Source organism: Homo sapiens, chromosome 14 (assembly GCF_000001405.40).
Source record: "Homo sapiens chromosome 14, GRCh38.p14 Primary Assembly".
NCBI classification, from domain to species: Eukaryota; Metazoa; Chordata; class Mammalia; order Primates; family Hominidae; genus Homo; species Homo sapiens.
Window position 1 is genome coordinate 74,398,547 of NC_000014.9, and position 12,596 is coordinate 74,411,142.

At 54.2% G+C, this 12,596-nt stretch overlaps 1 protein-coding gene across 2 annotated transcripts in view, besides 4 other annotated features; it reads right to left on the reverse strand.

Moving 5' to 3' along the window:
* Window positions 3,006-3,915: an enhancer, noted in NCBI's record as "H3K27ac-H3K4me1 hESC enhancer chr14:74868255-74869164 (GRCh37/hg19 assembly coordinates)". NCBI's record gives its function as "activates a minimal SCP1, AML or CMV promoter by ChIP-STARR-seq in naive H9 embryonic stem cells {active_cell/tissue: H9 hESC(naive)}" and the evidence as "EXISTENCE:reporter gene assay evidence [ECO:0000049][PMID:30033119]".
* Window positions 3,133-3,462: an enhancer, noted in NCBI's record as "active region_8727". NCBI's record gives its function as "activates an Ori minimal core promoter by ATAC-STARR-seq in GM12878 lymphoblastoid cells {active_cell/tissue: GM12878}" and the evidence as "EXISTENCE:reporter gene assay evidence [ECO:0000049][PMID:35858748]".
* The window catches only part of SYNDIG1L (synapse differentiation inducing 1 like), a 74,245-nt gene continuing 69,001 nt past the window's right edge, over window positions 7,353-12,596 (reverse strand). For both annotated transcript variants that reach the window (XM_017021600.2, NM_001105579.2), the window contains exons 2-4: window positions 10,782-11,255; window positions 9,303-9,443; window positions 7,353-9,147 (exon numbers count right to left, since the gene is read on the reverse strand). In XM_017021600.2, the coding sequence (XP_016877089.1) occupies window positions 8,989-9,147; window positions 9,303-9,443; window positions 10,782-11,198 (717 nt within the window). In that variant the 5' untranslated portion in view covers window positions 11,199-11,255 and the 3' untranslated portion in view covers window positions 7,353-8,988. The remainder of the gene's footprint in view (window positions 9,148-9,302; window positions 9,444-10,781; window positions 11,256-12,596) is intronic.
* Window positions 8,592-9,093: an enhancer, noted in NCBI's record as "H3K4me1 hESC enhancer chr14:74873841-74874342 (GRCh37/hg19 assembly coordinates)". NCBI's record gives its function as "activates a minimal SCP1, AML or CMV promoter by ChIP-STARR-seq in primed H9 embryonic stem cells {active_cell/tissue: H9 hESC(primed)}" and the evidence as "EXISTENCE:reporter gene assay evidence [ECO:0000049][PMID:30033119]".
* Window positions 11,044-11,591: an enhancer, noted in NCBI's record as "H3K4me1 hESC enhancer chr14:74876293-74876840 (GRCh37/hg19 assembly coordinates)". NCBI's record gives its function as "activates a minimal SCP1, AML or CMV promoter by ChIP-STARR-seq in primed H9 embryonic stem cells {active_cell/tissue: H9 hESC(primed)}" and the evidence as "EXISTENCE:reporter gene assay evidence [ECO:0000049][PMID:30033119]".

Genomic DNA, 12,596 nt, shown 5'->3' on the forward strand with positions numbered 1-12,596 from the left:
TGTCAATTACAGCGCTCCCCTACTCTAAGGCAGGGGTGTCCGATCTTTTGGCTTCCCCGGGCCACACTAGAAGAAGAATTGCCTTAGGCCACACATGAAATACACTAATAATAACGATAGCTGATGAGCTAAACACACGTGCGTGCACACACACACACACTGACACACACTTCATAATGTTTCAAGAAAGTTTACGAATTTGTGTTGGGCAGCATTCAAAGCTGTCCTGGGCTGTGTAGGCTACAGGTTGGACAAGCTTGCTCTAAGGTACTTACAAGGAAACAGATAAACTATGTTTAAAATTTCTTGCCAGGTGTGGTGGCTCACGCCTGTAATTCCAGCACTTCAGGACTTTGGGAGGCCGAGGTGGGGGGATCACTTGAGGTTGGGAATTCGAGACCAGCCTGGCCAACATGGCGAAACCCCGTCTCTACTGAAAATACAAAAATTAGCTGAGTGTGGTGGCATGCGCCTTTAGTCCTAGCTACTTGGGAGGCTGATGCATGAGAATCACTTGAATCTGGGAGGCAGAGGTTGCAGTGAGCAGAGATTGTGCCACTGTACTCCAGCCTGGGAGACAGAGCAAGATTCTGTCTCAAAACAAAACAAAACAAACACATAGCATAAAATTTACCATCTTACCCATTTTAAGTGTACGGTTCAGTACAATTAAGTACATGCATGTTGTTTTGCAACAGATCTCTAGAACTTTCTCAATTTGCAAAGCTGACACTCTATGCCCATTAAACAAATCCCAGTTTTTCCCTCCCCCAGCTCCTGGCAATCACCATTCTTCTTTCTCTTTCTAGGAATGTGACTACCCGAGGTACCTCACATAAATGGAATCATCCAGTATTTGTTCTTTGGAGACTGGCTTATTTCACTTAGCCTGATCTCCTTAAAGTTCATCCATGTTGCATCATGTGATAGGTCATTTAGGAGGTTTTGCAGGAGTCTGAGTAAGAGCTGATGGGGGCTTGGACTAGGGCTTGGAGATAGAGATAGCAGGAAATAGAGTCGGGGAGATTGGGGAGTGGTAGAGTCACAGGACTTGGTGAAGGATGGGAAAGTGCTCCTGTTTCTGGCCTTGGTCTTCAGAGGTGACTGTGGACAGGCCAGTGGTACCCAGACTTGTAGGCTCCTTTGGACAATGGGGGTTGGGGGTGACCCAGGGGCTAAGTTGGGTGCAGAGGAAACCAAGGAAGAACCTCTTCTCTATCCTCAGCCCACAGCCTGGGGGAGACCAGAGGAGGAGAGCAGTGAGCAGCTGCTCTGGCTTCTTTGTTCCCCTTGTTTATTCTTCCTACAGAGCACAGACCTTGCAGCACCAGAAGGGTGGTCTTTATGGCATCCCTGATGAAAGAGGGGAGGAGGTGGGTAAAGTTCTGTGCTGTGTCCCTTTGCAGATACCACCAGGCTGGGCACCCCACGGGCTCATACTGCTCTTTCTGGTCTCTTTGATCGTCCTCGGAATTGTAAAGTCCTTGCCACCTAGAGACTTCCTCCCTGCTCCCATCTACCCCAAGATGTGGATGATTTTCCCATTGAAGAGGAAATTAAAGTGGAAAGAACCTTGCCCCGACTCCCTCCAGCCTGGAGGCAAGTCACTTCTTTCCCAGTGATGTCAACAGTGAACAAGGGTCGAGTGTCTGTGGAAGGCAGTCCCCACGTCAGACCTGGGATGCCCTGAGCAAACACGAGCTCCACCCTCAGAAAAGCAGATGTCTAGATGTGGCCGTCATGTCGATATGAACAGGTGTAGCGGTGGTTCACGAAAGAGGGTGGCTAGTTCTACCTGGTGTTGGGGCTGGGGTGAGTTGACAGAAACAGCTGCCGAGAAAATGAGGTTTTCTTGAGACGTGTCTTGGAAAATTATTTTTATCAGTTTGGAGGAAAAGAATCTCAGGGTGTGGAGGCAGATACCAGAATTACAGGCAGGGGGAGCAGCCTAAACAAAGGCAGCGAGACGGGAAACAGGCCCTGCCTTCAGCTTGCTGCCAGCCGAGATCTGCCCAGAGACCAGCAGGGACCAGAGCTATCAGGACTTTGGCTATTATCTCTGGCTATGGAAGGGATGGGGCTGAGGGAGGTGACACACTTCTGGCAGGGAAGCCATTTAAATGGTGGTCAGCTGGAGATAATTTTAAAGAAATTCCATATAGCACTTACGAGACACTCAATTTTGCGGGAGCCATACAAGTGTTAATTCATGTAATATTCACAGTCATCTTAACGGGGTCAGTCACCATCACGATCCCCGTTTTCCAGATGAGAAAACACCAAGCAACATCTTACCCGAAGTTGCACAGAGGCTGGGGATGGGATTTGAACTGGGTGGTGGGCTCCCCTCTTCTCTGCTGTTAACCACTGGGCTGTGCTCTGGGCCAGCCAGCTCTGAGCGCAAGTGTTAGGGACAGGGCTGGCGGAGGTTAATGAGGGAAAATGGCCAGGAGTTGGCTTCAGGAAGGGAGGCAGTGGGTGAGGGTGGAGCCACAGCAGGCTCCCAGAGGACGAGGCACCATTCACTGATCTGTGGAACTGGGAAAGGCCTCGAGGTCCTCAGTCTTCCTGTCTGTGAAATGGGGACAAGAACACCAGCCTCAGTGGTAGAAAGAGTGGTGTGAAGGTCCTTTGTGCACCCAGGGTGCTCTGTCAACGTAGCCTGGCCCTGCTGCCTCACCCCAGCCCTGCCCACTGGTGCAAGCACACTCACTGTCCCCTTTGTCCCCTTCTGGCTGCCTCTGAGGGATCCTGCCCCCTGGGAGTTTCTTTCTCTGTCATTTCCTGGAGGAGCTAGAACTGGCTTTGAAACCTGCCTGGCTCTTTAGTGGGAGAGAGGTAAAAGCAGTTCAAGGGATGTGGGCTGGAAGTATTTGGAAATGCAGATGGGCCACACGAGCACCTTTTATTTTTGTTCAGAACATCTGAGTCTCCCCGTGGGGACTCCCCCGCCCAGAGTAGCTCCTCCCCCCATGGCAGAGAGGATGAGAGAGCACCCGGGGGCTGCCATGAGCTCAGGGCAGGCAAAAGCAAGGCTGTCGCTCTCCTGCCCCACCCCTACCAAGCCACCAAAAATAGAAGGGCCAAGGTGTCAGCCCCAGGGAGGGGCCAGCCGGGGAAGCCTTTGAAGCCGGAAACAGCCGGGGAAGGAAGGCTGAGAGAAGCAAGTTTGTTAATATTCACTGGGCAGCAGCGGCAGTTGTCCCTGGGTTTTCTGTTTCCAAGGCAAGCAGACATCACCAGCCTAGCTCAGCAACTCCAGGGCCTGTGAGGCAAGGCCTGGGCTTGGCTCGTGACTTGCTGTGTGACACTGGGCAACTGGCAACCCTTTCTGGGTCTCTGTTGTCTCATCTGTAGCATGAGGGATTGTGACTAGATCACCTCCCGGGTTCCTTCCTGCTGCAGCGTTCCAGGACTCACACCTTTGGCCACTGACCCCTGCCCCACCTTCTGAGTGGGGTTCAGGGACTGTGCTGAGTCTGTCTCTGGGAAGCAGCAGGGTGCAGGGGCACACTGATGAGTGGTGCATGTGCCCAGGGGCAACATCAGAGCCGTTTAGCCACCAGGGCAGTCAGGCATGGACAGACGCATTTGGGAGGGGGCGGGGCCCTGTGTCAGCTGTTAACACTTCAGTTCCTGAAGCAGAGAAGTCTGGAGTTCTGGGGAGGGGCCAGGGAGGCAGGAGAGGGAAACACTGGGAGGGTTTAGGGCTTGGCCTGTTTATCAACTACTGTGGAAGTATTTTCACTGTTCTGACAATCCCTGCAACTATGTCCATGGACCTGCTGTCTATCCGCCCTGTTCATCGGGAGGAAGAGATGGAGAAGGCTGCCGGGGTTCTGGGAGTGGGTTTCTAGTCCTTCCCACCATCGGAAAAATTCTTGTCACTCGGAGTGGGGCCAGGTCACTGTTTCCCCTGGGTCCAGCCCCCAGGACCCCTGGCCTGCCACCCTTAGGACACCCCTTCTTCCCTGGGGCTGGGGAACAGTGAAGGGAGGCTCTCCTCCCACTCCTTTGCCCACAGCCCCCGTGGCTCCACTTGCCCAGCAGCTGTCCTGGACCACAGGCCAGGTGGCCTCAGTTCCTGGCTCCTCTGTGGCTGCCCCCTCTGCCATCTGCCCACCCCCACACAGGGCCCATTTGGCTACCCTCCCTTATATCCCACATCCCCTAGGTGAGGCCCTTTTCCATCCCATTCCAGCCTGGCCTGTAGGGGAGAAAGTTGAGATGGGGTTGGAGGGTGGGGTCAGCCAGAGCAGGTCCAGCATCAGGGCAGCTGCGGGGACCGGGGCTGGGTTCTTGGTGCAGGGCCCCCACTCTGCTGGCTGCCCCGACTTCCCTGTGCAGCAATTTCAGTTTCTATTTTGAACAGTTTGGGTTGGTTGCTTCTCTGTCTTCCTGCTGGGTGTTTATAGTGAGGAAAATAATTGGTAATATTTGCACAGATGTGCTGGCATTGCAGCTCGTCACGGGCACCTTTACCCAGGGGACCCTCCCTGCCCCCAGCCTGTCTCTGCCAGCCTGAGGAACCAGCCTGAAGGGGAGTAGCTGAAGCCCCTATGCCTCCCAGGGGCCTCAGGCAGCCAGACGCAGGCAGAGCTGGGAAGCAGGAGGCCTCAAGTGCCCCAGGCATGCCAGAGGCGGCCCTAAGCTGGAAGGGGGTGGGTGGGTGTCTGTGCTCCAGGGACTGATCAGGACAAGCCTGGGCTCCAAAGGATGGATCCTTTCTAGGGGCTGCATGAGGGAGGCCCCAAGGGCTTCGTTTCTTATTCCATTTTCTCCTACAGAGCCTGAATTTGCAGCTGAGGGTAGGGATGGGGTGAAAAGGAGAGGGGCAGGTCCAGGGTTGAAAATAGAAAATTGTGGCCAGGCGCTGTGGCTCACACCTGTAATCCCAGCACTTTGGGAGTCCGAGGCAGACAGATCACCTGAGGTCAGGAGTTCCAGACCAGCCTGACCAACATGGTGAAATCCCATCTCTACTAAAAATACAAAATTAGCTGGGTGTGGTGGCATGTGCCTGTAATCCCAGATACTCGGGAGGCTGAGGCAGGAGAATCACGTGAACCTGGGATCCAGAGGTTGTAGTGAGCCGAGATCGCACCATTGCACTCCAGCCTCGGCGACAAGAGTGAAACTCCATCCCCCCACCCGCAAAAAAAAGATAGAAAATTGTTTGGCTTCTCTTTCCCCTTCTCAAAGCCTGGAACAGCATTTCAGAGGGCTGGCAAGGAGGTGAGAATTGTGGACCATGAGGCTGCCCGCCCAGCCCAAGCAGGGCATGGACCAGGGTGCATGCTGCCCAGTGCCCTTTCCGGGGCCCCAGCCAGGCTGGTGATGGGTGGGACCACAGCGCAGGCAGGGCCAGGTGAGACTCCTCAGCCACCATGCCTCCTTCTCTTCCTCCTTTTTTAAAAATAATCTCTCTCTCTCTCTCTTTTTTTTTTTTTTGACAGGGTCTCACTGTCACCTAGGCAGGAGTACAGTAGTGTGGTCATGGCTCACTGCAGCCTCAATCTCCCAGGCTCAAACGATCCTCCTGCCTCAGCCTCCTATGTAGTAGTGGGACCACAGGCATGCACCATCATCCATCACGACCAGCTAGTTTTTAAATTTTTTTTGTGGAAATGGGGTCTCACTATGTTGCCCAGGCTGGTCTTGAACTCCTGGGCTCAAGCAATCCTCCTGTCTCAGCCTCCCAAAGTGCTGGGATTACAGGTGTGAGCCTCCTTCTTCACCTCTTGTATGTGCACATGGTGCATGTGTGTGTGTGTGTATGTGCATACAGCTTTTGTGCATGTGTGGGCTGTGCCTGTGTACATGTGCGTGTGTGTGCACAAAGGTTTGCGTGGTGTGTGGCTGTGCCTATGTGTATGTGTATGCCTGTGTGTGGGTACATGTATGTGCAAGTGTGTGCATATATATGGAAGATGTACATGTGCGTGTGAACGTGCATGCTGTGTGCCGGGGTTTGGCTTCTCCCAGAAGCCAACCCTGAGACAAGGGTTCAATTGTAGGCGGTTTATTGGGGGATGATCCCAGGAAGCACAGTTGGGGAGTAGGGAAGGAGGCAGGGTGAGGAAATCAGCCAATGAAGGGCATGTATCAAGCAGAGTGCTGCTGCAGGCAACTGAGCTCAGGCCCACTGGGGAGCCCAGGGAACCTGTGTAGAACACGACTGAAGCAGCCTTCAGTGTGAAGAGGTGAATGCAGAGGGGATCTAGGTGGGCACCAGGGCGTCTGCTGCTGGGTGGGTGGGTGTGGTGGACGTGGTGATATGCCACTCAGGATCCCTTCAGGAAGGATGGACAGCTTTCCAGCTGCTGCAGGTCCTGGCAGCAAACAGTCTTCAGGGCAAATGTTTTTGTGTTGTCTCAGCTGAAGACCACTGCCTTGCCTGAGGTCACACCCTCTTTCTGGGTGGCCCACATCTAATGACTGGTCAATGAGGGAGTGGAAAGACCTGGCTCTTCACCCCAATTTGGGTCAACTCTGGCTCCCCTGTGGGTTGGCCCAGCCTGTCATTCAGGACTGCATTGCAGCCTGACCTCTCCCTCTGCCCAGATCTGCCTCCCTCTCCATGCTTTTACAAACGTTATCCCAACAGCAGCCCCTCATATCCATCTCACAGGCTAATCTCTGTTTCTGGGGTTCGCAACCCATGCAGCATGTGTGTGTGCATACGTGCACAGCTGTGTCTTACAAGTAGGTGCACACGTGGATATGGGATGTGCATAACCTGCCTCCCCAGGGCCCTCCATCCAAGTGACCTAGAGGCCAGGCCAGTCCCTGTGCTGGCCCAGGCAGGCTCCTGGGGGCTCAGGTCTGAGAGGATATTGGAGATTTGGTGCTGAGCTGGGGCCTGAGGCAGGCAGAGATGCCTTCCTCTCCACATGGTCCAGGAGCGGCTCCTGGGATGGAAGAGATGGTGAAGGAGCAGGCAGCAGGGGCGTGGACTCCTTGGCCCCCTCACACCCTGTATCCACCCTTGGTAGCTCCAGGCAGCTCCATGGAGCCTCAGTCACCTTGGCTCACATCCCTTCCTCCCTGTCCTCCAAGGCTCTTGAGCCTAGAAGGGCTTTTTTTCCAGGCACGGATCTTGCTTTGGCTTGCCTAGAGCAAGCCAAATGCAGGCCATCACTCTACAGCCAGACTACTCCAAGCAGAGGAATCCTGGGATGGTGCAGACACTCTGGCCACCACTCCTCCTAAGGCCCATACGTGGGCTTGTCCTCTCCGCAGGCTGCCAGGGGTCAGAGCAGCAGACATAGCAACAGGTCAGTCTTGGAGAAGAATGGGATTCAGGCAAAGGCGGGGCAGGTAGCACAGCAAGATACCTAGAGGGCACCAGGTGTTACAGAAACATTTATTACAAGGATAAATCAGTACAATAATGGGACCTTAAAACTGCTGTGATGCAGGAGTGGAGGGCTGGGCAGTGCCCGAGGCAGGGGAGGACAGTGGGACAAGGGATGCTCAGTGGTGGAGCCACAGCCCTGGGCTCTGGATGGGGCATGGGAATGACCAGGTTCCCACATCATGCACAGCAGGGGCCTGTAGCTTGAGTCCAGACAGGCCTGCCCACATTGGTGCTGCCCCCCGCCTACCTGGAGATGTCTCTAAAATTCTGGATGTGCCCTAGTGGCTGAGGGTGTTGAGACTGGCACTGAGCAGAGATATCAGTGAAGATGCCCCAGGGGTAACCAGGTACCCACCACTGACCCCCTAGCATTCAGAGATGGGAAAACATCATTGGTCTTTGAGAGACAGGTGTGACGTTCCTCCTTGAGTTGGCAGAACCCTTAGGAATGGCTGTAGTTTGGCTCCAGCCCAGATGTTCCAGGCAGAATCCAAACAGCCTGGAAGCTTCCCATGGAAGGTTCCTGCCACATCCCTGCCTACAAATACAAAGAGTTATGTGACCAAATCCCTTAGATGAATTCTATTCATCCTAGGACTTGCTCAAGGGATACCTCCTCCAGGAAGCCTTCCTAAGCACCGCTGACTACTCAGCAGGCCATTCCTTCCCTGAGTCCCTTCCCTCATCTATACTCACTACTCCCTAGGGTCTCTCCTTGCTGCGTTTTCTGTAGGGCTGGACCTAGGGCCGTGCGCTCAGTGGCTGGTGAGCTGAGGGCACTCTCTGGGTCTAGTCTACTTGTGATGGCACCAGCTCACGGACCCCCAGGCAAAGCCCAGAAAAGGATGATAGGGGCGGGGAGTGGGGGGAGAGTAGGAAGAGTCATGTAGTACAGCAATATTTCAGGACCCTCTATTCTCTGTCATTGCAACTGCCTTTTGCACCCGCATGAAGAAGCTCCAAGAACCTGCCCTTGGTTCAGAGTTTACATACCGAGGCTCCTCTTCCCTATCTAGAATCTACAGTGCCTCACAAGCCCATGCAGAGATAAGCACCCTCTAGAATCAGAGACAGCAAGAGGCCCCCTTGCCTCCACGTATTTCCTTCTTGGCCTGCTGAGGTCTGGGCATGATGGGGCCAGACAGTGGAGTTGGGGGAAGCTCAGGCTGTCCCCAGGTGAAGATCCCTGTGGGCTGAAAGGATTGGGACGGGTCCCCTTGTGCTCTGGGCACCCCCTTTTCTCCCTGTAACCTCCTGCTCTTTCTCTGTGGGGAGGTTGGCAGGGTAGGTGGTGGGCTGGCTGTAGGGCAGGAGATCCTCTAGGGAATGGGCAGAATGGATGGAGCTAGGCCCTGCTGGGATGGCCTGGTGGGCAGCCCTGCCTTCTGTTTCCCGTCTGTAGCCTGGGTTAGAGAGTGGCGCCCCGGGCCCTGCTCTGGGGCTGGGAGCAGCGGGCAAGCAGAAGTGAAGGCTGAGCTCTGCAGGCTGTGGAATGGGGGTCTCCCCCTCAGCAAGCCACTCTCACGGGATCATCTTCAGGGGCCGGGCCTTTCCATAGGGTCTGCAACTCCAAGCCCCACTGCTTCCTCAGGTGGGCAGGGGAGTCAGGATGCAGGCCCTACTGGCTACTAGCCATGACCGTTCTGGGACATGTAAGCTGCCAGAGCCACCACCACAGCCACGTAGAGACCGGCCCCCACGGCGATGGCGAGTGTGGCTAGGAAGAGGGCCCGGCGGGAGGTGGTGCTGGCCAGGCGGAAGTCCCCTTTGGAGATGGCCTTGCTGGTCTAGGGAGAGAGACATGCTGATGAACAGGAGTGTCCCCACACCCAGCCAAACAGCCCAGCCTGCCAGGCCCCTGACCCCATCCTGCAGACGGGATGCCAAGCCCTCCAGTAGAGTGACGGGCCAGAGAAGGGACCTGGGCCCCAGGTGCTCTTACCCCCTGGGAGAAGTAGAAGGCAGCAATGCCCAGTGGCCAGAAGCAGCAGAGCATGGAGAAGAGAGTAAGTCCCAGGTGGTCCCTGGGAGGCAGCGTGAGGAAGTTGTCTTCACTTTCACTCTCCGTTGAAGTGGCATCGCTCTGCAAAACAGTGGAGTTTGGTGACCAGGCCCAGGATCAGCCCAGCCCCATCAGGCTGGCAAGAGGTTTTTTAAAAGGCAATGCCCAGTGGCCAGTGACATGGAGCAACAAGCAGTCTCTTCTGCCGCAGGTGGGGATGTAGGCTGGCCTTGGCACTTTCTACCAAAAGCCTTAACAATGGCACAATGATTCCACTTTTAGGAATTTATCACGAGGAAAGAAGGTAAATACCTACATCCAGGGTTGTTCATCATAGGATAGCAATTGTGAAAGAAGAGAAACACTCTCAATGGGCCAGTCACAGCGGCTCACACCTGTACTCACAGCACTTTGGGAGGCCGAGGCGGGTGGATCACCTGAGGTCAGGAGTTCGAGGCCAGCCTGGCCAACATGATGAAACTCCCTCTCTACTGAAAATACGAAAATTAGCTGGGCATGGTGGCAGGTGCCTATAATCCCAGCTACTTGGGAGGCTGAGGCAGGAGAATTGCCTGAACCTGGGAGGCGGGGGTTGCAGTGAGCTGAGATCGCACCTTTGCACTCCAGCCGGGGCGACAGAGCGAGACTCCATCTCAAAAAAAAAAAAAAAAAAGAAACACTTTCAATGACCAGTGACCAGGAGACTATGTTAATAAATGATGGAAGAACTCACAATGGAAGACCATGTAACCATTAACAATCACCTCTCAGGAATACATTAAATTACATGGAGCAATACTAAAATATGTTGCTTAGAGAAATAAAATCAGATTATAAAACTATGTACAGCAAGATTTCTTCTGGGGAGTGGGCTGGGGGAAAATGTGAATAAGAGACTTACACAATCATCCACCAAAATGTTATCTTTGAGTGTGCTGGGTTTAAATTATTTATATAATTAAGAAAACAAGAACAAGTGCTATTGAACAATGAAATAGTCAACTCAAAGCTAGTGTTTCTCAAAGCATCGGCTGTACATGTGTCCCAAGTCCCTTTTCTTTGGTAGTATACAGATTCCTGGGCCCTAATCCAGGCCTCTTAGATCTCGATATCTGGTGATGGGGCTCTGGGAACTTGCATTTTATTTATTTATTTATTTATTTATTTATTTATTTATTTATATTTTTTTGAGTCAGGCTCTTGCTCTATCACCAGGCAGGAGTGCAGTGGTGCAATCATAGCTCACTGCAGCCTCAACCTCCTGGGCTCAAGCAATCCTCTCACTTCAGCCTCCTGATTAGCTGGGACCACAGGCACATGCCACCACGCCAGGCTAATTTTCAATTTTTTTTTTTTGTAGAGTCGGGGTCTCCTTGTGTTGCTCATGCTGGAATCTGCATTTTAACCTCATGCACTCACCTCCTCTTCCTCCTGGTCATCCTCCTGGTCCCGCAGCTCCTCTTGTACCCCATAGGACACAGTCTGGATGGTGACATTCTCTGCAGCTTGGCCAGGTCCTGTGGGCTGCTCTGGAGGCCCCTCCTGGGGCTCCCTGTCCTCTGTGAAGCTTGTCTCACAGCTGCCTGCCCTGGGCTCCTTGACCTTGTCTCTCCCCAGGAGGCAGCTGGGCCGGTACCAGGCCTCCACGGCCAGCTGCAGGGACCCTGGGTCCAGGAGCTGGTGGGCTCCGGCAGGCCCAGCGCCACCTAGGAGGTAGGAGTAGAGCTTTTCCTGGCAGGACCAGCTGGGTGGGGTCTCCGGGTAGGGATAGGGGCCATGGAGATGGGCAGGGCTCCTGGGCAGCAGCGGGTTCTGTAGTTCACTCAGACTCTCCATGGTTCTGGGGCAGCTGCTGGGGAGGGGGGCCTGGGCCAGCTGAGCAGTCCTCAGAGCCTGTCAGAAGAGCAAGACAGACAAGCACTGAGGCCAGGGCACTGGAGGCAGGACCTAAAGTGGTGAAGAGCATGGGTCCTGCAGTCTGACTTGGCTCAAACTCTGCCTCTGCCCTTTGCAAGATGCAGGACCTGGAACTGGCTACTTCACTTCTCAGGGCCTCCGTTTCTTTGTCTGTGGCTTGGGACTGGCAGTAGTGCTTACCCCACAGAGTTGGCTTAGTCATTTGTCCATTCAACACATATTTACTGAGCATCAGCTATATGCCAGGCACTGTACTGGATGCTTGGGGTACCATGGTGAGAAAGATGAGAAGTAGGGAGAGGGAGCAGATGCCTGCTTTGTCTTCACAAAACTTCCAGTCTGGTGGAGAAGACAAGTGTAAAATCAAGTCTCTGCCCTGAAGAAGTACAGCAGGTGCATGTAAGCATGCACAATGGATGGAGCTGACACAGAGACCCAGGGAAGGCCTTAGAGCTGAGATCTGAAGGAAGAGTGTGGGTCAATGAGGTGAAGGGGATGCAGAACACATTTCATGCAGAGGGAAGAATGTGTGCAAAGGCCCCGTGGTTGGATACAGGAAAAGGCAGGTGTGGTGCAGGGCACAGATGGAGGTGTGCGATGGGGTGTGGGGGCCAGACCGTGCAGCCTTGCTTGAGTCTAAGAGGGGGTACTAGGTTAGGATCTGGGTCCTGAAGCCTTCCCCATGCCTGTGTGTGGGGAGTGGACTGCAGAGGGCTGGACCGACTGACCCCATTAGGGGGCCTTTGCTATGGCTGCAGGCTAGCGAAGATAACTGGGGTTCAGTAGTGGTGTAGATGGAGGAAAGGGAACTGATCCTGGGAAATATTGACAGGACTCAGTGGCAGGTGGGACTTAGGGTTGAGAAAGGATTCATTCTAGGGTCGAATGGGAGCGCGCTGAGTCCAGAGCTTGGCACACGGCATGTGCTCACAGCTGTCAGCTCTTACTGAGGGAGGATGCTTGTCCCTAGCAATGGTCTTAGAGGGATACACCTTAGTAACTTCCTCCCTAAGGCAAATTGGGACTTTGAGAAGTTCCTGCAGGATCTAAGGTGGGGCCTCCTGGGTTCTGAGGTCTGGACCTGCACATCCCGTTTGGAAGTATGGAGACACTCAGGGCTTCCCTTCCTCCTTCAGCTGCTTTGAGCACCTACTGAGCACCTGGGAAGCCATAAACCCCCCCAACACACTGGGTGTGGCAGGTGCAAGTGGGGTATGGAGAGAGGCCAGGGGCAGGCTAGGGGCCCCAGGGACCTCCTGCTGTCCCCCTCCTTGGCCCATCGCAAAGCTGGAGGGTGATGGGGCTGTGTCTTGCCCT